The sequence below is a fragment of the Homo sapiens genome, chromosome 7, assembly GCF_000001405.40.
Source record: "Homo sapiens chromosome 7, GRCh38.p14 Primary Assembly".
NCBI classification, from domain to species: Eukaryota; Metazoa; Chordata; class Mammalia; order Primates; family Hominidae; genus Homo; species Homo sapiens.
Genome location: NC_000007.14, coordinates 74291492 through 74314229, shown reverse-complemented (window position 1 = coordinate 74314229; position 22738 = coordinate 74291492). Strand labels below are relative to the sequence as shown.

At 52.2% G+C, this 22738-nt stretch overlaps 1 protein-coding gene across 3 annotated transcripts in view, besides 4 other annotated features; it reads right to left on the bottom strand.

Annotated features, from left to right (window-relative positions):
- CLIP2 (CAP-Gly domain containing linker protein 2) overlaps positions 1-22738 on the bottom strand; it is a 116529-nt gene that overhangs the window by 91706 nt on the left and 2085 nt on the right. The gene's annotated exons all lie outside the window — the stretch shown is intronic.
- Positions 5679-6317: an enhancer, noted in NCBI's record as "H3K27ac hESC enhancer chr7:73722243-73722881 (GRCh37/hg19 assembly coordinates)". NCBI's record gives its function as "activates a minimal SCP1, AML or CMV promoter by ChIP-STARR-seq in naive H9 embryonic stem cells {active_cell/tissue: H9 hESC(naive)}" and the evidence as "EXISTENCE:reporter gene assay evidence [ECO:0000049][PMID:30033119]".
- Positions 7125-7269: an enhancer, noted in NCBI's record as "145 bp enhancer 193 fragment used in the MPRA reporter construct; PK_construct_3564". NCBI's record gives its function as "activates an SV40 promoter by MPRA in K562 cells {active_cell/tissue: K562}" and the evidence as "EXISTENCE:reporter gene assay evidence [ECO:0000049][PMID:23512712]".
- Positions 7192-7202: a transcriptional cis regulatory region, noted in NCBI's record as "NFE2L2 motif; enhancer activity is reduced when this motif is scrambled". NCBI's record gives its function as "necessary for full MPRA enhancer 193 activity {active_cell/tissue: K562}" and the evidence as "EXISTENCE:site-directed mutagenesis evidence [ECO:0005528][PMID:23512712]".
- Positions 19357-19651: a silencer, noted in NCBI's record as "tiled region #1083; HepG2 Repressive non-DNase unmatched - State 1:Tss, and K562 Repressive non-DNase unmatched - State 19:H4K20". NCBI's record gives its function as "represses a minimal TATA promoter and a strong SV40 promoter by Sharpr-MPRA in HepG2 and K562 cells {active_cell/tissue: HepG2 | K562}" and the evidence as "EXISTENCE:reporter gene assay evidence [ECO:0000049][PMID:27701403]".

The window sequence follows — 22738 nt, the reverse complement described above, 5'->3', positions numbered from 1 at the left end:
CATGAGCCACCGCACCCGGTCCCTTTTCCCCAATTTTTTTTTTTTTTTTTGAGACAGAGTCACTTTGACACCCAGGCTGGAGTGCAGTGGCACGATCTTGGATCACTGCAACCTCCATCTCCTGGTTTCAAGCAATTCTTCTGCCTCAGCCTCTGAGTAAGTCAGACTACAGGCGCCCGCCACCAGGCCCGGCTAATTTTTGTATTTTAGTAGAGAGGGGGTTTCTGCCATCTTGGCCAGCCTGGTCTCAAACTGCTGACCTCAGGCAATTCTACCGCCTCGGCTTCCCAAAGTGCTGGGATTACAGGCATGAGCCACTGCTCCCAGCCTACATTTTCCCCATCCTTGGTTCATATGACTTATGTGGGTTGACCCGATTCCCACTCCTAGAGGGGATGCATAATGCAGGCCTGGCCATCAGAGAAGATCAGGTGAGGCGTCTCAGGGCCTAGGCTGTGGCTGAAACCTTTAGGAAGAATTCTCCCTGCTCTGGGGCTGCCTGGGTGTAGGATGGAAGCCAGAAGCTGCAGGGGCCATCCTGGTTACCGCATGGGAGAGCCTGCCAGGGAACGGTGCCAACACAGAGACAGCACAGCTGAGTCCCGAGGAGGGCCTAGATCCAGCTGAGCCTGAAGCTGGCCACTTGGGCTCTTCATTTTTTTTTTTTTTTGAGATGGAGTCTCACTCTGTCGCCCAGGCTGGAGTGCAGTGGCGCAATCTCGGCTCACTGCAAGCTCTGCCTTCCGGGTTCATGCCATTCTCCTGCCTCAGCCTCCCGAGTAACTGGGATTACAGGCACCTGCCACCATACCTGGCTAATTTTTTATATTTTTTAGTAGAGACGGGGTTTCACCATGTTAGCCAGGATGGTCTCGATCTCCTGACCTCATGATCTGCCCCCCTCGGCCTCCCAAAGTGCTGGAATTACAGGCGTGAGCCACTCCAGCTGGAGGCTGGAGTGCAGTGGTACAATTTCAGCTCACTGCAGCCTCAACCTCCCAGGCTCCCGAGTAGCTGGGACCACAGGTGCATGCCACCACCACCATCCCCTGCCCCGGCTAAGTTTACAAGTTTTTTGTAGAGACAGGGTCTCACTATGTTGCCCAGGCTGGTCCCAAACTCCTGGGGTAAAGCAATCCTCCCACCTCAGCCTCCCAAAGTGCTGGGATTACAGGTGTGTGCCACTGTACCTGGCCTTTTTTTTTTTCCTAAACCTATTTGAGGGACAATGTCATTTGCATTTCCAAAAAAATTCTGATGAATACAGATGCCAACCCACAATGCTCGCGTCAGGAATGTGCGTGAGGGCATCCGATGAGTCAGCAATGCTACTACCTGTCCTGGCACATCCGAGTGAAGGATCACTTCCTCCCTCAGACTGGCAGTTTTAAGAGCAGAGGAAAACAAGCTGCCCCCAGGCACACAGCAGTGGAGCCGACATGCCGGGGTGCGCCCACGAGAGCACTGGGCATGCCTGCCAGCCCTGGCCCTCAGGGCTGCTAAATCCAACATTCCAACGCCCCTGGTGCCCCGGGAATTCTGGGGGCCGGGAGTCAATCATGCTGGGGTACAAGGCTGCTCCCTTCGTCCTCAGAACCTGGCCCTCCTGGTGGCTTGTTCAATGAGGGAGCCGGACTGTGAGCTTTGGGCACAGCTCTCCGAGAGCTTGGTTAGGCTGGGTCAGCATTTCCAATGCCAGCAAAGGTGAGTGGGGATGGTCTCTGGTGACAGTAAATATCCCACCTTGTGGGTGACCAAATGAGCCTCCTGCTCCCGTGGCTCAGCTGGGGGACCCTCTCACCTAGGAATTCCAGATGCAGAGAAGGGAGAGCATTGCTGAGACTCAAGTGAGGTGCAAGGAACTCCCTCCGCCTCCTGACCCCCGCCCCCCCACCAGGGCCTCTTCTCTGCCCAAAATCCCTCCCACAGAGAAAACAGTTATAAATCGTATCTAATAACAAACTTTCATTATTTTATTTATTTATTTATTTGGAGACGGAGTCTTGCTCTGTCACCCAGGTGGTGCAATCTCAGCTCACTGCAATCTCCGCCTCCCAGGTTCAAGTGATTCTCCTGTTTCAGCCTCCCAAGTAGCTGGGACTACAGGCGTCCCATTGCCACCACATTGGCTAATTTTTGTATTTTTAGTAGAGATGGTGTTTCACCATGTTGGCCAGGCTGGTCTTGAACTCTTGACCTCAAATGATCCACCTGCCTCAGCCTCCCAAAGTGCTGAGATTACAGGTGTAAGCCATCATGCCTGGCCCGACTTGCATTCTTTTCTTTTTCTTTCTTTCTTTTTTTTTTTTTTTATTCTTGAGATGTGGTCTTGCTCTATCGCCCAGGCTGGAGTGCAGTGACACGATCATAGCTCACTGCAGCCTCCAACTCCTGGGCTCAAGCAATCCTCCCGTCTCAGCCTCCTGGATAGCTAGGACTACAGGTGCACCCTACCATGCCTGGCTAATTGTTTTTTATTTTTTGTAGAGACTGGGTCTAGCTACATTGCCCAGGCTGGTCTCAAACTCCTGGGCTCAAGCAATCCTCCTGCCTCTGCCTCTGGAAGTGCTGGGGTTACAGGTGTGAGCCACCACGCCCAGCCAGGGCTGGTATTCAGGAAACATAATGAACTCTGCAACTTGCTAAGAAGACAACAACCCAATTAAAAATGGGTGAAAGGTTTGAATATACATTTCACCGAAGAAGATATACAAACAGCCCATAAGCACATGAAAAGATGACTAACATCATTACTCATCCAGGCAATACAGATCAAAACAAGAGATACCACTTCCCATCAAGGGAAATGGCTAAAAATTTGAAAAGCTGACAATACCAAGTGCTGATGAGGATGCAGAACAACTGAAATGCTCGTAGTGTTGGTGGAAATAAAAAATGGTACAATCACTTCGGAAAACAGTTGGGCAGTTTCTTAAAAAGTTAAAAATAGTGGCCGAGTGCAGTGGCTCATGCCTGTAATCCCGGCACTTTGGGAGGCTGACGCGGGCAGATCACGAGTTCAGGAAATCGAGACCATTCTGGCTAACACAGTGAAACCCCATCTCTACTAAAAATACAAAAAATTAGCCGAGCGTGGTGGCAGACACCTGTAGTCCCAGCTACTCGGGAGGCTGAGGCAGGAGAATGGCGTGAACCCAGGGGGCAGAGCTTGCAATGAGCTGAGATCGCACCACTGCACTCCAGCCTGGGCAACAGAGCAAGACTCCGTCTCAAAAAAAAAAAAAAGTTAAAAATAGGAGCTCGAGGCAGGCAGATAGCTTGAGCCCAGGAGTTGGAGACCAGCCTGGGCAACATGGCGAAACCCCATCTCTACCAAAAATCCAAAAACAATTAGCAGGGCATGGTGGCGTGTGCCTGTGGTCCCAACTACCTGGAAGGCTGAGGCACAAGAATCGCTTGAACCCAGGAGGCAGAGGTTGCAGTGAGCCAAGATTGTGCCACTGCACTCTAGCCTGGATGACAAAGTGAGACCTTGTCTCAAAAAAAAAAAAAGAAAGTTAAAAATACACCTCCCATATAACCCAACCACCCAAGAGAAGCAAAAATATGTGTCCATAGAAAGTTTTATAAACAAGTGTTCATACCAGCTTTACTCATAACAGCCCAAAAGTAAAATCTCCATCAACCAGTGCCTGTACAAACAAAAGTAGGGCAGCTGTTTTTCATTTTAATTTTATTTTTATTTTTGAGACAGGGTCTCACTCTGTCACCCAGGCTGAGTGTAGTGGTGCAATCATGGTTCACTGCAGCCTGGAAGTTCCTGGGCTCAAGTGATCCTCCCACCTCAGCTTCCTGGGTAGCTGGGACCAAAGGCGAGTGCTACCATGCCCAGCTAACTTTTTATTTTTTGCAGCTGGAGTCTCACTATGTTGCCAAAGCTAGTCTCGAACTCCTGGACTGAAAGGATCCTCCTGCCTCAGCCTACCAAAGTGCTGAGATTACAGGATTGAGCCGCCATGACCAGTCTTCATTTTTATTTTAGAACAGAGACAGGTCTCTGTCACCCAGGCTGGAGTGTGGTGGCATGATCATGGCTCACTGCAGCCTCGACCTCCTGGGCTCAAAGAATCCTCCCACCTCAGCCTCCCCAGTAGGGGACTACAGGCATGCGCCATCACGCCTGGCTGAACTTTTTTTTTTTTTTTTTTTTTTTTTTTTTTTTTTTTTTTTTTGTAGAGACAGGGTCTTGCCATATTGCCCAAGCTGGTCTTGAACTCCTGGACTCAAGCAATTCCCCCCACCTCAGCCTCCCAAAGTGCTGGGATTAAAGGTATGAGCCACCATGCCTGGCCCAAAGTGGTATATTTATATAATAGAATACTTCTTAGCAATAAAGAACTACTGATATGTGCAACATAGATGAATGCTTTTTTTTTTTTTTTGAGATGGAGTCTCGCTCTGTCACCCAGGTTCAAGCGATTCTCCCGGGTTCAAGCGATTCTCCTGTCTCCACCTCCCAAGTAGCTGGAACTACAGGTGTGTGCCACCACGCCCGGCTAATTTTTGTATTTTTAGTAGAGACAGGGTTTCACTATGTTGACCAGGCTGGTTTCGAACTCCTGACCTCAGGTGATCCACCCGCCTCAGCCTCCCAAAGTGCTGGGATTACAGGCGTGTGCCACCACGCCCGGCCGGATGAATGTTTAAAACATTTTGCTAAGTAGAAGAAACTAGACACGAAGGACTCCATATTGTATGAATCCGTTCATATGAAATTTCAAAACCGTATACACAGAATGCAGATTAGTGGTTGCCTGGGCCTGGAAACACAGATTGGCTGCAAATGGGCACAGAGAACTTTCTGGGTAGTAGAAATGTCCTAAAACTGGGGTGTGGTGATAGTTGCACAACTCTATGTTTATACTAGAAGTCATCAAACCATACAATTAATTTTTAGTAGAGACGGGGTTTCATCATGTTGGCTAGGTTGGTCTCAAACTCCTGACCTCAGGTGACCCACCTGCATTGGCCTCCCCAAGTGCTGGGATTACAGGTGTGAGCCACTATGCTGGGCCCAAACCATACACTTAAGATGGGAGAGGCCGGGCATAGTGGCTTATACCTGTAATCCCAGCACTTTGGGAGGCCGAGGTGGGTGAATTGCTGGAGCTCAGGAGTTTGAGACCAGCCTGGGCAACATGGCGAAAATCTATCTCTACAAAATAATACAAAATGTAGCCAGGTGTGGTGGTGCATGCCTGTAGTCCGAGCTACTGGGGAGGCTAAGGTGAGAGGATTGCTTCAGCCCAGGAGGTTGAGGCTGCAGTGAGCTGTGATCACACTACCACACTCCAGCCTGGGTGACAGAGTGAGACCCTGTCTCTAAAAAAGTTAAAAAAATTTTTTAAAAAGGGCCGGGCATGGTGGCTCACGCCTGTAATCTCAGCACTTTGAATACACATTTCACCAAAGAAGATATATAAACAGCCCATAAGCACATGAAAAGACGGCCGAGGCAGGCAGATCACTGAAGGTCAGGAGTTTGAGACCAGCCCGGCCAACGTGGTGAAACCCTGTCTCTACTAAAAATACAAAAATTAGCTGGGCGTGGTGGCACACACCTGTAGTTCCAGCTACTTGGGAGGTGGAGGCAGGAGAATCGCTTGAACCCGGAAGGCGGAGGTTGCAGTGAGCTGACATCGCACCACCATGCTCCAGCCTGGGCAACAAAGCGAGACTCCATCTCAAAATAAATAAATATAAATAAATAAACAAACTAGATTATGAATGAATGAATGAATGATACTTACCCAAGAGGTGAGAAGTCCAGGACACCATTCTCACCTCCTTAGGACATAGCACTCAGGTCTGAGTGGCTTGTGGTGATCAGCCCAGCTGGTCAGACACCACAGGTCATCACACAGCCGGTCTGGCCTCCCAACCAGCCAGCATCCCCTCTGAGGCAGAGATCAGGCGTGAGAACCCTGTCCCTGGCACTGGAGGCTCCTGCAGATGACCCTGCAGTCCTTACCACCCGCCTGACACTGTCCCACCTCCCAGAGGCCACCTGTGTCTTTTCTCCCACCTGCTTCACTTCTCCTATTTGCATTACCTACTGACACCTAGCCTGATGCCACCTCCTCCAGGAAGTCTCTCAGGACCTTCGGCCCACAGAGACCTCAGGATCACATGTGGAGCCAAGGAGGAGAGAGTATGCTGTTCTTGTCTGTCTTCGTCATGCCACCTGGGAGCTTACAGGCAACTTCAGGCAGGGCCATAGTCTCTCCTCTCTGGGAACCCAGCCTGAGCCATGGTGCCTGGCACAGAGCCATGATCTGGAATTCCCACGACAACACACCTACAGCCGCCCAGAGGACACAAATCCCCAGAAACACTACTCCCAGGGAACGCTCCCAAAATTAACCTCCAGCCCTCCTGAACCACCCCCCAGCAGCCTCCAGTATGAAGAACCTACTGTTGCCGGGCACGGTGGCTCATGCCTGTAATCCCAGAACTTTGGGAGGCTGAGGCGGGCAGATCACAAGGTCAGGAGTTTGAGACCAGCCTGGCCAACAGAGTGAAACCCTGTCTCTACTAAAAATACAAAAAAATTAGCCAGGCATGGTGGTGGGCACCTGTAGTCCCAGCTACTAGGGAGGCTGAGGCAGGAGAATCACTTGAACCCAGGAGGCGGAGGTTGTGGTGAGCCGAGATGGTGCCATTGCACTCCAGCCTGGGCGACAGATCGACACTCAAACAAAACAAAACCAAAAACAAAAAAACGAACCTACTGTCTACCAGGCATTGCACGAATGTGGCCTCATGTCCTCCCCAGCCCCTGCACAAGGCAGAGGTCCTCTGACAGGTGGAGCTTCCCGAGTGCAGAGAAGTTCGGGGACTCAAAGTCACACACTGCTAAGTGGCTGTCCTGGAATCAGACCCGGGTCTGGCCCTTCCCTACCTCCCATCCTGCCGAGCCCAGCCCTGGAATAACATTTGTGAGCCCCCTGGCCTCTGGGGACAGCGTCCGCCTGCCACGGCTCACAAAGGAAACCAAAGAGCTGGCAGGAGAGGAGAACCAAGGCGGCATTCAGTCAGGCCCGGCCACCCTTGCTGTGGGAGGGGGAGAAGGGTGCAGAGGGGGAGCAGCCCCCCTGTCCCCGAGGAGCACCCGGAAGGGGAGAGGGGAGAATAGTGAACAGGAAGAAGGGGGAGGCCACCTGCCCTCGTGTGACTCAGCTGTGCTGGTGGGACAGAGGAAGAGAGAGGGATTCTTGGAAAACGCTGGGACTTGATGATAAATTGGCCTCTGGCCACACTGTGGCCGACGTGGGAGGCGGGGAAGCCTGGGGCAGTCCCAGCTCCAAACCCCAGACTTTCTCCGAGTGGCTGTGAGCCCTTGGCCCAGAGAGAGCCTCAGTTTCATTACCTGTAAAATGGGGTACAAGTGTCACCACCTCCTGGGAGTGAGGCAGAGAAGACACCCCAGGAGTATGCCCGGCTGCTCGGGAAGGGGACTGTCACTACTCTCTGGAGGCCCTGGTGCACAGGACGGACAGGCGAGGGCGGGGTGGCATTCAGACCAACAGTCCCCCTTTTGTGCCACCCTCCGATGCCGTTTCCCAGAGACAAGCCCCGGCTGCATTTCACGCCTTCCATTTCAGCTGCCCGGGGGTGGCGGGCTGCAGCCTCGGAACTCTGCCAATCAGGGCCCCGGCGGAGGGGGACGGGTGCCAAATAGAGCAGTGGAAAGCCCATCTTGGTTTGGCGGGCCAGCCTCATCCTGGGGCGAGGGAGGCAGGAGCCAGGAAGCGGGCACGCCTGCAGAGACCCCGGACGTGGCTCTCTCCCGGAGGGGCAGGTGCTTGGCAGGGACACTGCTGCTGGCTGGGGTGGGTCACATCCAGCCTTCACCAGAGCCCACTCTCTCCAGGGCCCTCGGGGGTCCCAGCAGCTGGGGTGCTCATGCCCACACTTCCTGAGGTGTAACCCGCAGTCCCCACAATCAGGCCCCAGAGGTAGGCTCAGCACAGCCCCTGCCCACATGCCACAAGCCCTAGGGCACCAGGCACAACAGCACCTCTCGGAGGAGCAAGGGACCCGTAACCGGGAGCCTGGGCAGGCAGCACCTGCGGGGCAGAGGGTCTGGGATCCCGCAAAGGAAACTGACCACACTCTGCCAGGTCCACCCAACACCCAAGGATCTGGTGGGGCTGGAAGGCAGCAGGGGATCTAGAGAGTATGAGAGACAGGCAGGGTCTCCTGGACGTGCCCCAGCAATCAGGCTGAGGGGATGAGGGGCCACAGAGAGACTCCAAGCCAGGGGTCCCCCACAATCAGACAAGCACACCAGCAAGACCGCTCTGGGAGCTGAGGATGATGGTGAACTGGCAGCAGGGGCGGTGGGGGGGGGTTGGGGTGCAGGGAGAGAAGCCAGCTGGGGGCTGCTGAGATGGAAGCAGATCCCTAAAATGTGACCGGGTGCGGTGACTCATGTCTGTAATCCCAGCACTTTGGGAGGCCAAGACAGGAGGATCACCTGAGGTCAGGAGTTCAAGACCAGCCTGGGCAACATGGCGAAACCCCATCTCTACTAAAAATAGAAAAATTAGCTGGGCGTGGTGGCGCATGCCTGTAATCCCAGCCACTTGGGAGACTGAGGCAGGAGAATCACTTGAACCCAGGAGGCAGAGATTGCAGTGAGCTGAGATGGTGCCATTGCACTCCAGCCTGGGCGACAAAGTGAGACTCCGTCTCAAAAACAAACAAACAACAAACAAAATGAGGCCTGATCTGGGACAGAGAGGGGACACTGGGAGGGAGGTGGGGGGAGGTAGGGGCTGCAGCAGAGAACTCAAAGCAACCACAGGGCACAAACCTGAGGGCAACCCAACGACAGGTGGGCAGGAATGGGACCAGCCTTTGCGGGGGAGGCCAGGCTGCACAACCCACCAGCTGAGAGACAGAGAGCTGCTGTGCCTCCCCAGGAACAGGAAAATGCAAACCCAGGGTGCCCCATCCAATGGGCAAGTCAAAAGGCCTGGCAATGCCAAGTATTGGAGAGGGGGCAGAGCAGTGGGTGGGTGGGCACGGATGGCACAGTGCCTGGGCTGGACAGGGAACGTAAGTGTACAGTGGAGGGATGGATGGTCCCCTAGAGGGTCCTCCCTGGCAATTGGCCTGCCTGCCCTGGAGCCACCCACAGGATGAACTCCATTGTAAGAGCAGGGAGGGGTGGTTTGGTGGTGGGAGGGGACTGGGGTGGGGTAACTGGGGACTTTATTTATTTATTTATTTATTCATTCATTCATTTATTTATTTTTGGAGACAGGGTCTCCCTCTGTTGCCCAGGCAAGAGTGTAGTGATGCAATCATAGCTCACTGTAGCCTTGAACTCCTGGGCTCAAGTGATCCTCCTTCCTTAGCCTCCCGAGTAGTTGGGACCACAGGTGTATGCCACCATATCCGGCTAATTTATGTAAAGAGAGGATCTCACTATGTTGCCCAGGCTGGTCTTGAACTCCTGGCTTCAAGTGATTCTCTTGGCTCAGCCTCCCAGAGTGCTGGGATTACAGGCATCAGCCACCATGCCCAGCCTTTGTTATATTTCTAAGGTTTGTTTCCTAGCCCTATGGGGTGCACATGGGTGTTCAATGTATCCTGTCTACTCCTTTGAATATCTAACAGATTTCTTAAACTTTTTTTTTTTTTTGTCAGAGTCTCCCTCTGTCGCCCAGGTTTTTTTGTCAGAGTCTCCCTCTGTCACCCAGGTTGGAGTGCAATGGCGTGATCTCGGCTCACTGCAACCTCCACCTCCCGGGTTCAAACCATTCTCCGGCCTCAGCCTCCCGAGTAGCTGGGATTACAGGCATCTGCCATCATGCCCAGCTAATTTTTGTATTTTTGTAGAGATGAGGTTTCACTATGTTGGCCAGGCTGGTCTTGAACTCCTGACCTCAGGTGATCCACCTGCCTTGGCCTCCCAAAGTGCTGGGATTACAGGCATGAGCCACCATGCCCGGCTTCTTAATCATTTTTTTAAAAGAAAAATAAAGATAGGCTAGGTACGGTGGCTCACGCCTGCAATCCTAGCACTCTGGGATGCCAAGGCAAGATCATTTGAGGCCAGGAGTTCGAGACCAGCCTGGACAACACAGTGAGACCTCACCTCCTATTAAAAAAAAAAAATTAGCCAGGCATGGTGACACACACCTGTAGTCCCAGCTACTTAGGAGGCTAAGGTGGGAGGATTGCTTGAGTCCAGAAGTTTGAGGCTGCAGTGAGCTGTGATCTGTGATCCTGCCACTGAACCCCATCCTGGGCCACAGAGCAAGACTCTATTTTTTTTTTTTTTTTTGAGACCGAGTCTCACTCTGTCACCCATTCTGGAGTGCAGTGGCACGATCTCAGCTCACTGCAACCTCCGCCTGCTGAGTTCAAGCGATTCTTGTGCCTCAGCTTCCCAAGTAGCTGAGCCCACAGGAGTGCACCACCACAACTGGCTAATTTTTGTATTTTTAGTAGAGACGGGGTTTCACCATGTTGGCCAGGCTGGTCTCGAACTCCTGACCTCAGGTGATCCGCCTGCCTTCACCTCCCAAAGTGGTGGAATTACAGGCGTGAGCCACCACGCCTGACCTAAGACCCTATTTCTAAAAAAAAAAAAAAAAAAAATAAGAGACACAAGGGGAGGGAGAAGGAAACATTATCTCCACTGCACAGCCACCAAGAGGCAAGCCCCCAACAGAGAGGACCCCAAAATGCTCACTGCCAGGCCAGGCTTTCTGAGCCAATGGTGAGCCCTTCTCTGAGCATGAAGGGGGCTCCCCAAGCCCTACCCAGCACCCCAATGCCCACACATGCACTAGAATGCCAGTCCCACCCCAATCCTGCACCATGCAGAATCCAGCAGGGGGTCTTGGGTGTAACACCACTCCAGGCTGGCACCTCACCTGCTCCACGGACCCCACTGCCCATCCATCCCACACAGCTTTGTTTGCATTTGCCCAAGGCTCAGGGAATCTGAGAAGGTTGACTTAGGTCACCCAGTGGTGAAGCTAGAGTCTCCACATCCTCCCTGACCAGGGCAAGAAGAGGGCAGGGCTGGACGGCCCCTTCCCTGTGAGTCTTGCCGGCTCTGAGGCGGAACCTGAAGCTCTGAGCCTTATACCCACTATCCCTCAGGCCTGGGAGAGCTGATGGGAGGGTGCCCGGCTGTCTGTACTGCTGTCTCCACCCATACTTGGTCAGTCTTCTCTGCCAGGCCTGCGGGGAGCTGCAGCCCCAGCTGTGCAGGCAACACACACAGCTGCTGGCCAGCAGTAGAGGTACGAGGGAGCCCCAGGAAGAATGGGGTGGGGATAAATCCCGAGCTGCCCTGAGAGCACCCATTGGCCTGGCGGCCATCCAGATAGTGGGGACAGCTGACAGCCAGCGTGGGGATAGGGCCTTGCCCCAGCATCACAGCAGATCCAGGGCTGGAACCCAGGCTCCACAAGCCCACGTGGCTTCAAACAGGAGGGAGGGAGATGAAACTGGCAAGACCACAGTGGATAGTGTGGACCAGGTTTACACAGTGCAGGGCTCTGGGCTCCTGGGCTGAGCAGGGCAGGACAGACCCAGGCCAAGTGCCCCAGTCAAACCCCAACTTCTCTGGCACCTGCAGCTGGGAGACAAGCAAGGGTTGAGTCTAGAAGCCTGGGTTCCGGTCCCACATGCTACCTTTCTCACTATGTCCGAGCTCAGGGCTGTGGTTCCTCAGTTTTAGAGGAGGCATCTTCTGGCCAGGCCTGGTGGGAGGCTGAGGTGTGTGGAACACCTGTGGTCAGGAGTTCGAGACCAGCCTGGCCAACATGGTGAAACCCCATCTCTACTAAAATACAAAAATTAATTGGGCGTGGTGGTGTGCGCCTGTAATCCCTGCTACTTGGGAGGCTGAGGCAGGAGAATCGCTTGAACCAGGGAGGCGGAGGTTGCAGTGAGCTGATATCGCGCCATTGCACTCCAGCCTGGGTGACAGAGTAAGACTCTATTTCAAAAAAATTTTTAAAATAAAAAAAATAAAAAATAAAGGAGGCATCTTCCTTGCCCTGCCAACAGCCTGAGGGACCACAGGGCCCTGGGAACGCCCAGCCTGTCTGTCTCGCGGGAGCTAGACACACACACAGAGTTGGCATGCTCAGAACCACCAGCCACAAAAAAAGGTCCAACGCTGAAAATAACCCACACATCCATTACCATTAGAATGAGTCAATAAGGCCAGGCATGGTGGCTCGTGCCTGTAATCCCAGCACTTTGGGAGGTCAAGGCGGGTGGATCACTTGAGGCCAGCAGTTCGAGACCAGCCTGGCCAACATGGTGTAACCCCATCTCTACTAAAAATACAAAAATTAGCCTGGTGTGGTGGAGGGCACCTGTAATCCTAGCTACTTGGGAGGCTGAGGCAGGAGGATCACTTGAGCCCAGGAGATAGAGGCTGCAGTGAGCCGAGATCACGCCAGCGCACTCCAGTCTTAGCAACAGAGCAAGACTCTGTCTCAAAAAAACAAAAAAAACAAAACAAACAAACAAAAAACAATGCCAGGCGCAGTGGCTCACGCCTGTAATCCCAACACTTTGGGAGGTGGAGGTGGGCGGATCACCTGAGGTCAGGAGTTTGAGACCAGCCTGGCCAACATGGTGAAACCCCGTCTCTACCAAAAATACAAAAAAAAAAAAAATTAGCCGGGCATTGTGGCGGGTGCCTGTAATCCCAGCTACTCGGGAGGCTGAGGCAGGAGAATCACTTGAACCCTGGAGGTGGAGGTTGCAGTGAGCCGAGATCACGCTATTGCACTGCAGCCTGGCAACAAGAGCGAGACTCCGTCTCAATAATAATAACAATAATAATAATAAGTAAATAAGTTGTGGTTTGTTCACACAATAGAATAACATACAGCAATGAGAATGAATGAATGCCAACTGCATGCAATGATGTGTAAGGACCTTGCAATTACAATCTCAAGTGAAAGAAGTCGGACATAAAAAGAGTGCACACAAAAGAAGACATACAAGCGGCCAAGAACCATATAAAAAATGCCCAGCATCACAGATCATCAGAACATGCAAATTAAAATCACAATGAGATACCATCTTAAGCCAGTAAGACTGGCTATTATTCAAAAGCCTGAAAACAATGCATGTTGGAGAGGATGTGGAGGAAAGGGAACGCGTATACACTGTTGGTAAGAATGTAAATTAGTACAACCTTTATGAGAAATGGTGCAGAGATTTCTCAAAGAACTGAACATAGAATGGCCCTTCCATCCAGCAATCCTACTAATTGCCATCTACCCAAAGGAAAATGATTCATTCTATCCAAAGGATACCAGCACTGGTATGTTGATCACAGCACAATTCACAAGAGCAAAGATATGGAATCAACATATGTGTCCGTCAAGGGAGGACTGGATAAAGAAAATGCGGTATATGTCTACCACGGAATGCCACTCAGCCATCAAAAAGAATGAAATCAGGCCGGGCACGGTGGCTCACGCCTGTAATCCCAGCACTTTGGGAGGCCGAGGCGGGTGGATCATGAGGTCAGGAGATCAAGACCAGCCTGGCTAACACGGTGAAAACCCGTCTCTACTAAAAATATAAAAAAATTAGCCGGGCGTGGTGGCGGGCGCCGGTAGTCCCAGCTACTTGGGAGGCTGAGGCAGGAGAATGGCGTGAACCTGGGAGGCGGAGTTTGCAATGAGCCGAGATGGCACCACTGCACTCCAGCCTGGGCGACAGAGCGAGACTCCGTCTCAAAAAAAAAAAAAAAAGAATGAAATCATGTCTTTTTCAGCAACATGGATGGGAGCCATTATCCCTAGAAAACAACTCGGAAAATCAAATACCACATGATTGCACTTCTAAGTGGGAGCTAAACAGTGGGTATACATGAAAATACAGAGGGGAATAATAGACGCTGGAGACTACAAAAGGTGGGAAGAGGCTGGGTGTGGGGGCTCATGCCTGTAATCCCAGCACTTTGGGAGGCCAAGGCGGGTGAATCATTTGAGGTCAGGAGTTCGAGACCAGCCTGGCCAAACTGGCAAAATCCCATCTCTACTAAAAATACAAAAATTAGCCAGGTGTGGTGGTGCATACCTGAATTCCCAGCTACCAGGGAGGCTGAGGCAGGAGGATCGCTTGAACCCAGGAGGCGGAGGTTGCAGTGAGCTGAGATCGTGCCACTGCACTCCAACCTGGGCAACAAGAGCAAAATTCCGTCCAAAAAAAAAGCTGGGTGGAGTGGCTCATGCCTGCAATCCCAGCACTTTGGGAGGCCAAGGCAGGTGGATCACCTGAGATCAGGAGTTCGAGACCAGCCTAACCAACATGGAGAAACCCTGTCTCTACTAAAAATACAAAATTAGCCGGGCATGGGGGCACATGCCTGTAATCTAGCTACTTGGGAGGCTGAGGCAGGAGAATCGCTTGAACCCGGAAGGTGGAGGATGCGGTGAGCCGAGATCACACCATTGCACTCCAGCCTAGGCAACAAGAGCGAAACTCCGTCTCAAAAAAAAAAAGAAGAAGAAGAAGGGCCTCGAGTCAGCACCCCAGGGTGCTCTCACTCCCACACCTTCTCCTGCAGGCAAGGGCTGGGGAAGAGGCTGAGCCCACTGAGGTTCAGGCCTGGTCCCTGAGTGGCATAAGCGGCCCCAGCCAGAGGCGACAGGGTGCAAACCAGGGTCCACTCCAGGGTGTGGTGGCTTGGAGAAAAGATGAACCCAGCAGGCCATGAGCACCTGCTATGCCCCTGAGGGGCAGCCCAGCACACTACTATGGGTGGGGAGAGTGGAGGAGGAACAGAACTTGGTGGCCCAGGGATTAGGACAGTCACTAATAAGCCTTCAAGGCAGGGCCTTTATTTATTTATTTATTTATTTATTTATTTATTTATTTATTTTAGACAGGGTCTTGCTGTGTTGCCCAGGCTAGAATGCAGTGGCACAATCACAGCTCACTGCAGCCTCAAACTCCTGGGGTCAAGCAATCCTCCCACCTCAGCCTCCTGAGTAGCTGGGATTATAGACACTGTACCTGGCTAATTTTTGTATTTTTTATAGAGACAGGGTTTTGCCAAGGTGCCCAGGCTGGTCTCCAACTCCTGGGCTCAAGTGATCATCCTGCCTTAGCCTCCCAAAGTGCTGGGATTACAGGTGTGAGCCACCATACCTGGCCTCAACATCAGTGTTTTTTCTTTTGTTGCTTCCAGAAAGGGAACTGCATGTTAGTCATCAAATTCTGGCTGAAAGCCACAGACACCCACCCACATTCATATCCACTAGGTCACACGTCCAGGCTTTTGCACGTGCCATGCCGGGTTCCTAGAATGCCCTTCCTCTCACTGGGCGCAACTTTTTTACTTAAACGTTTTTTAAAAATAGAAACAGACTGGGCACAGTGGCTCACATCTGTAATCCCAGCACTTTGGGAGGCCGAGGCTGGCGGTGACAATCACCTGAGGTCAGGAGTTTGAGACCAGCCTGGCCAACATGGTGAAATCCCATTTCTACTAAAAGTACAAAAAATTAGCTGGGTGTGGTGGCACGTGCCTGTAGTCCCAGCTACTTGGGAGGCTGAGGCAGGAGAATCGCCTGAACCCAGGAGGCGGAGGCCGCAGTGAGCCGAGATCACGCCACGCCACTGCACTCCAACCTGGACAGCAGAGTGAAACTCTGTCTCAATAAAATAAAATAAAATAAAATAAATAAAAATAGAGACAGGGGCCAGGTGTGGTGGCTCATGCCTGTAATCCCAGCACTTGCAGAGGCCGAGCTGGGTGGATCAGCTGAGATCAGGAGTTCAAGACCAGCCTGACCAACACTGCAAAACCCTGTCTCTACTAAAAATACAAAAAAAAAAAAAAAAAAACCAATTAGCAGGGTGTGGTGGTAGGCACCTGTAATCCCAGCTACTGGAGAGGCTGAGGCATGAGAATTGCTTGAACCCAGAAGGTGGAGATCACAGTGAGCTTAGATCACGCTACTGCACTCCAGCCTGGGCAACAGAGTGAAACTGTGTCTCAAAAAAAAGTAAATAAATAAAAGAAGAGACAGGATCTCACTATGTTGCCCAGGTTGGTCTCGAACTCCTAGGCTCAAGTGATCCTCCTGCCTCGGCCTCCCAAAGCGCTGAGATTGCAAGCGTGGGCACTGCACCGGACCGTGGGTGCAGCTTTAGGAGGGCAAGATCTTTGCATATCTTGTTCATTGCTGGGTTCTCGGTACCTAGGACAGCACCCAGACCATAGAGGAGCTCAAAAATACATGTTTAGTGAATATATGAATGCATTAAAGTGCCCTCCTCTGGATCGCTTGAGCCCTGGAGGTGGAGGTTGCAGTGATCCAAGATGGCACGACTGCACTCCAGCCTGGGTGACAGAACGAGACTCCATCTCAAAAAAAAAAGAAAAAAATGCCCTCCTCCGCTACTCTCGTCCTCCTCCCATCGAGTTGGATTCTTACAGTGCCTTGTTCACACCCCATAGCCACATTCACCCAGCCTGCTTGGAGCTATCTCTGGGAAGGACAGAGAGAAGCAGATCAACATTCCAACTGACAGGTCGTGCTGGAAAGGCTGGTCCCCTAAGCACGCAAGGCATGGAGTGTTCCCAGGGGTAGGTCCCACAAACAAAGGAACAGGCAGTGAGCCCCCCATCACTGGAGGGGTTCAAGTAGACAGAGGCTGAGGCTTCCTCTCAAAGGGGGGGCCCTGCTTTTGTTTTCTTATTCGGTTTTTTGGGTTTTTTTTTGAGACAGGATCTTGCTCTGTCCCCCAGGCTGGAGGGTGGTAGCACAATCATGGCTCACTGCAACCTCAACTTCCCAGGCTCAAGCAATCCTCCTGCCTCAGCTCCTCCCACCCCAGTGGCACTACAGGCAGGCGCCACCAAGCCCAGTTATTTCTTTCTTATTTTTTGTAGACATGGGCCCTTGCTAGGTTGCCCAGGCTGGTCTCAAGCTCCTGAGCTCAAGCAATCCTCCTGCCTTGGCCTCCCAAAGTGCTAGGATTACAGGTGTGAGCCACCACACCCAGCTGGTCCCTGCTCTTGTTGGGACAGCTGCCCTTAGAGGCTCTCTTGAGCTTACACCAGGATTCCGCAGCTGTACAGATGCATCTCTTCCCCTGCACCCCAGGCCCAAGCTGACTGAGGACACAGACTCCAAGGAGAAAGCAGCAAGCCAGGAGCCCAGATACCTGTGTCAGAAAGGCGACCCACTGCTGATCAGCAAGTAACTGGGGACGATGGTGTCTGCAAGGGAACAAATGCTGGTCTTAGGGACTATATTAGTCTGCTATGGCTGTCATTACAAAGGACCACAGACTAGGTGGCTTAAACAACAGAGATGTAGCGTTCACAGCTATGGAGGCTGGAAGTCCAAGGCCAAGGTATCAGCAGGGTTGGTTTCTTTTTCTTTTCTCTTTTTTTTTTTTTTTTTGAGACAAAATCTTACTCTGTCACCCAGGCTGGAGTGCAGTGACGCGATCTCAGCTTACTGCAACCTCTGCCTCCCGGGTTCAAGCAATTCTCCTGCCTCAGCCTCCCGAGTAGCTGGGACTATAGGTGCACACCACCACACCCGGCTAATTTTTTATCTTTTTAGTAGAAACAGGGTTTCACCACATTGGCCAGACTGGTCTTGAACTCCTGACCTCATGATCTGCCTGCCTCAGCCTCCCAAAGTGCTGGGATTACAGGCGTGAGCCACCGTGCTCGGCCCTCTTAGTGTCGCTCTGTTGCTCAGGCTGGAGTGTGGTGTGGCAATCCCAGCTCACTGCAGCCTCTGCCTCCCAGGTTCAAGTGATTCTCCTGCCTCAGCCTCCCGAGTAGCTGGGATTACAGGTGCATGCCACTACATCTGGCTAATTTTTGTATTTTTAGTAAAGACAAGAGTTTCACCATGTTGGCCAGGCTGGTCTTGAACTCCTTATCTCAGGTGATCTGCCTGCCTCAGCCTCCCAAAGTGTTGGGATTACAGACGTGAGGCTTGAGCCACCGTGCTGGGCACAGCAGGGTTGTTTTTTTCGGAGGCCTCTCTCCTTGGCGTGTAGATGGCTGTCTTCTCCCTGGTTCCTCCTGTGGTCTTCCCTCTGAACATGCCTGTGTCCAAATGTCCTTTTCTTACAAGGACAATGGTCATATTGGATGAGGACACCAGTCATATTAGATGAGGGCCCAAATGACCTCATTTGAACTTGATTATCTCTATAAAAACGCTTTTTTTTTTTTTTTTTTTTGGAGACAGGGTTTCACTCTGTCATCCAGGCTGGAGTGCAGTGGCACGATCATAGCTCATTGCAGACTCAAACTCCTGGGTTCAAGAGATCCTCCTGCCTCAGCATCCAGAGTAGCTGGGACCACACCCAGCTAATTTTTTAATTTTCTGTAGAGATGAAGTCTGGCTCTGTTGCCCACGCTGCTCTCAAACTCCTAGGCTCAAGTGATTCTCCCTCCTTGCCCTCCCAAAGTGCTGGGATTACAGGCGTGAGCCCTGATGCCTGGCCTAATTTTCTCATTTACTTTTAATCTGGTTATACTGCGTTTATCTTTGTAAATCACCTCAAGTCCTTTCTGGAATCAGATGAAGAACACACAAGCCCCTTTCAGATGTCTTCCCTCTCCTCTGTGGCCCCTGGCTCCAAAGAAGCTGAACATGAGCAAAGTAAAGAAACAAATGAATGGATTTGTGCAGGGAACAGCCTACATTACAAAAGGGAACAGGCTAGCGAAGTAGAAAGGTACGAGGTGGCAAAAAACCCAGACATCCAACGTTACTTCTCCCCGCCGCCAGTATAACTCCCCCAACTTCACACTCAATGTGGGAGAATGGTGAGTTTTTCACTGAGCCCCTAGACAGACACTCTACTCCCTGCTGCCCCAGCTTCTCAACTTTTCTCCCTTTGCCCCCATCATGAATGCCCTCCTTAACTGCCTCAAGCCCACCTATGCTTCAAAACTCAGCCCCAGCTGGGTGCAGTGGCTCACACCTATAATCCTAGCACTTTGGGAGGCCAAGGTGGGAGGATCGCTTGATCTCAGGGGTTTGAGACCACCCTGGGCAACACGGTGAAACCCTGTCTACAAAAAAATATAAAAATTAGCTGGGCATGGTGACATGCACTTGTAATCACAGCTAATAGAGGCTAACTAAGGTGGGATGATGGCTTGAGCCTGGGAGGTCAAAGCTGCAGTGAGCCGAGATCACGCCACTGCACTCCAGCCTGGGTGACAGAGCCAGGCCCTGTCTCAAAACAAAACAAAACAAAACCTAGCCCCAGTTCTATTCCTCCAGGAAGCCCTTCAGACTACCCCACCCACCACACCAGAGCCCAGCCTCCCTGCATAACCTTCAGATCAATATGCAGCCGTTGCCCAGCCAACAGCTCCACTAGGCATCAAAGTGTCTGGCCTTGAAATGTTTCTGGAAAGGGCTGATATTGTTTACATTGTCAGGAAGCAGGGCGGATGTCTTCCCAATTTAGTAAAAGCTTGTGGAAGCTCAATGCTGCACATTGTGAGGTGGGCAGGGGCTGGAGCACCCCCAAAAGGAGCTAGGGCAGCATCAGCCAGGTTTAGCTACAGGCAAGGGCAGACCAGCTTGAGACCTCAGGGTGACGGGGGTGACGCTGAAAAACCAGGCGCTCCTCCTGGTGAGCCGGAAATTCCGCCCTCTCATCCCAAGGGACCAAAAAGGCAAAGGAGGGAAATGAATCGGGAGCGGGTGTCGCTCAGGGCTCAGGCTAGAGTGGAAGGTATGATCCCAGCCATGGAGCAAGAAACGCTCCATCAAGACAGAAGCCGTTAAGTAGAGAAGGTCCTAAATTCAGGCCTCGTTAATAAAAACCATCTGGCCTGTTCTGCCTTCTATTCAGAAGGGAAACGTTTCATTAACATTTTGAAGCATTTCCTCTGCAAACATGAGTTTTGTATTACTGGTTCTGTTGTGACGGCCCTAGCCTTGCAGCCCAGTGAGAAGAGCCAGGATAGGAGGCTCTGGCTGGGCGCAGTGGCTCACGCCTGTAATACTAGGTCTTGAACTCCTTATCTTTTGGGAGGCCAAGGCGGGCAGATCACTTGAGGTCAGGAGTTCGAAACCAGCCTGGCCAACATGGTGAAACCCCATCTCTACTAAAACTACAAAAATTAGCCAGGCGTGGTGGCGCGTGCCTGTAATCCCAGCTACTCAGGAGGCTGAGGCAGGAGAATCACTTGAACCCGGGAGGCAGAGGTTGTGGTGAGCTGAGATCATGCCACTGCACTCCAGCCTGGGCAACAAGAGCGAAACTCCATCTCAAAAAAAAAAACAAAAAAAAAGCCCGAGTCCCACGCTGCCGGTTGGACCCAAATCTCCAGGTCCTGAAAGGAGAGAGCCTCCTCCTGTCCCGGGGCAGGGCTGGGGGAAGCCAGTGGCAGGCAGCCCTGGCCATCCCACCTGTCCTCTCCTCCCCACACTGGCCTGATCAGTGCACTCTGGTTTCTTTCAACAAATCATGCTGCAAGTCCCACATCCTGTGGCACAATGGCTAATTGACCACGGGTCTGCCTCCCCCATCAGCTCATGAACTCCCTGAATGCCCAGATTTGCTGGTCCTCACCTAACACACAACCTTCATCATCAATGCAGCCAACCAATTATCCCAACTGTGCCAGCCCCAGAGACCACGTGACCTGCCCCCCCACTAGCCGAGCAGAGGCGGGTGGGCTTCCTCATCCAGGCTGGACCAATCAGTGTCTCTCTGCACCCCAAGATGAAGGAGACCCCCACTGGGAGGTCCCGTGGACTCAGGCTACAGCCCCATTCAACACAGCCACACTCACAACCCAAGGAGACGGAGCCTGTAGGGGAAAGGAGAAGGAGACGGGACAGATGCGCTGAGAGAGGCCGAAAAAATGAAACCGCAGTCCACAGAGAGGAAAGCCAGAGGAGGAGCTGCCTGCCAGCTTCCGGGGTCCCGGGGGGCCAGGTCGCCTCCAATTGTTTGCTGCACAAGTTCTCTGTTCTCCACTCTTAAGTCCCTTTTCACTTAACCTAATTGAAGCAGGTTCCTGTTCCTTGCAACAAAATAATCCCAAAGGTATGGGATCGGAGGGCACCCCCACACCACCCTCAAAGCCAGCCCTGCTCCTCAAACCATGCCCACTCCTCACAGTTTATTAAAGGGGCCACGTCAGCCTTAGGTGAGGCAAGCCTGGGTGTGCCCAGCCTGGGAGCATGGGGAGAGCTGCAGTGGAAAGATACAGCCAACTGGGGGCGGACCCTAAAAGCTAGATAGCGTGTTTGGACTTTGCACCTGAGCAAAAGGGATAGGTGTCTGAGAAGGCAGAATCATAATTGTTCAGGGACATGAACCCGAAGAGGGTGGGTAGAATGGTGTGGCCGAAGGAAGCATGCCTCCCAGGCATACAGTAGGTGCTTAGCAAATCCATCAAGGGCAGACACAGCCACCTCTTTGTGCCAGGATATTCTTATCTGTAAAATGTAGGCAACCTTATTAAAATATCCACAAATGAAGGAATGAATTTAAAGAGCTCAGAACCAGGCCAGGCGTGGTGGCTCACGCCTGTAATCCCAGCAATTTGGGAGGTCAAGGTGGGCGGATCACTTGAGGTCAGGAGTTTGAGACCAGCTTGATCAACATGGTGAAACCCTGCCTCTACTAAAACTACAAAAAATTAGCCAGTCTTGGTGGCATGGGCCTGTAGTCCCAGCTATTCGAGAAGCTGAGGCAGGAGAATCACTTGAATCTGGGAGGTGGAGGTTGCAGTGAGCCGAGGTGGCACCACTGCACTCCAGCCTGGGCGACAGAGCAAGATGCTGTCTCAAAAAAGCTCAGAACAATTCTCCACAAAGTAAGCACTTAATATATACTTTTTTTTTCAACCTGCACAAAAGCTGAAGTTCTCACAAGAACCAATGAGCAGGGAATCTGAGGGTCACAAATGCAGCTTCCCTCCCCTGTGTATGGAAGTGGAGGTAGAGCAGGTGGTGTCAAGAGGGCAGAACTGGCTGGGTGCAGTGGCTCACGCCTGTAATACCAGCACTTTGGGAGCCTGAGGCAGGTGGATCACCTGAGGTCAGGAGTTCAAAACCAGCCTGGCCAACATGGTGAAACCCCGTCTCTACTAAAAATACTAAAATTAGCCGGACATGGTGGCACATGCCTGTAATCCCAACTACTTGGGAGGCTGAGGCAGAATTGCTTGAACCCAGGAGGCAGAGGTTACAGTGAGCCAAGATCGCGCCATTGCACTCAAGTCTGGGCAACAAGAGTGAAACTCCATTTCAAAAAAAAAAAAAAAAAAGAGGGCAGGATCAACTGTCAGGGTGGCAGGGCCAGGAGGGGAGGCCAAGAGGGAACTGGGGGACCACACGTGGGCAGGCCTGCCAGGTGGGGAGCAGGGACAACTGGGGCTGTGGGGAGATGGCCTTTCTATCACCAAGGGAGGCAGGACCAGGGAGGAGGCTGCAGTGAGGCAGAGAACAGCAGGTGCCGGGTCAGGGCTAACCAGCAAGGGTGCTGAAGAAGGACAAACAGCCTGGAAGGGGCACGAGCCTCCTCTCCCTGAAACGTGTGTGAGTGGGGCCAGGAAGCCACTCTGTACGGCAGCAACAACACTTATAGGACATCTACTCTGTCACAGGGCACACAGTTCTCCTAACAACCCTAAAAGCCAGATACCATAAGGATCCCAATTTTACAGATGAGGATGTCGAGGCAGAGAGAGATGCAATGT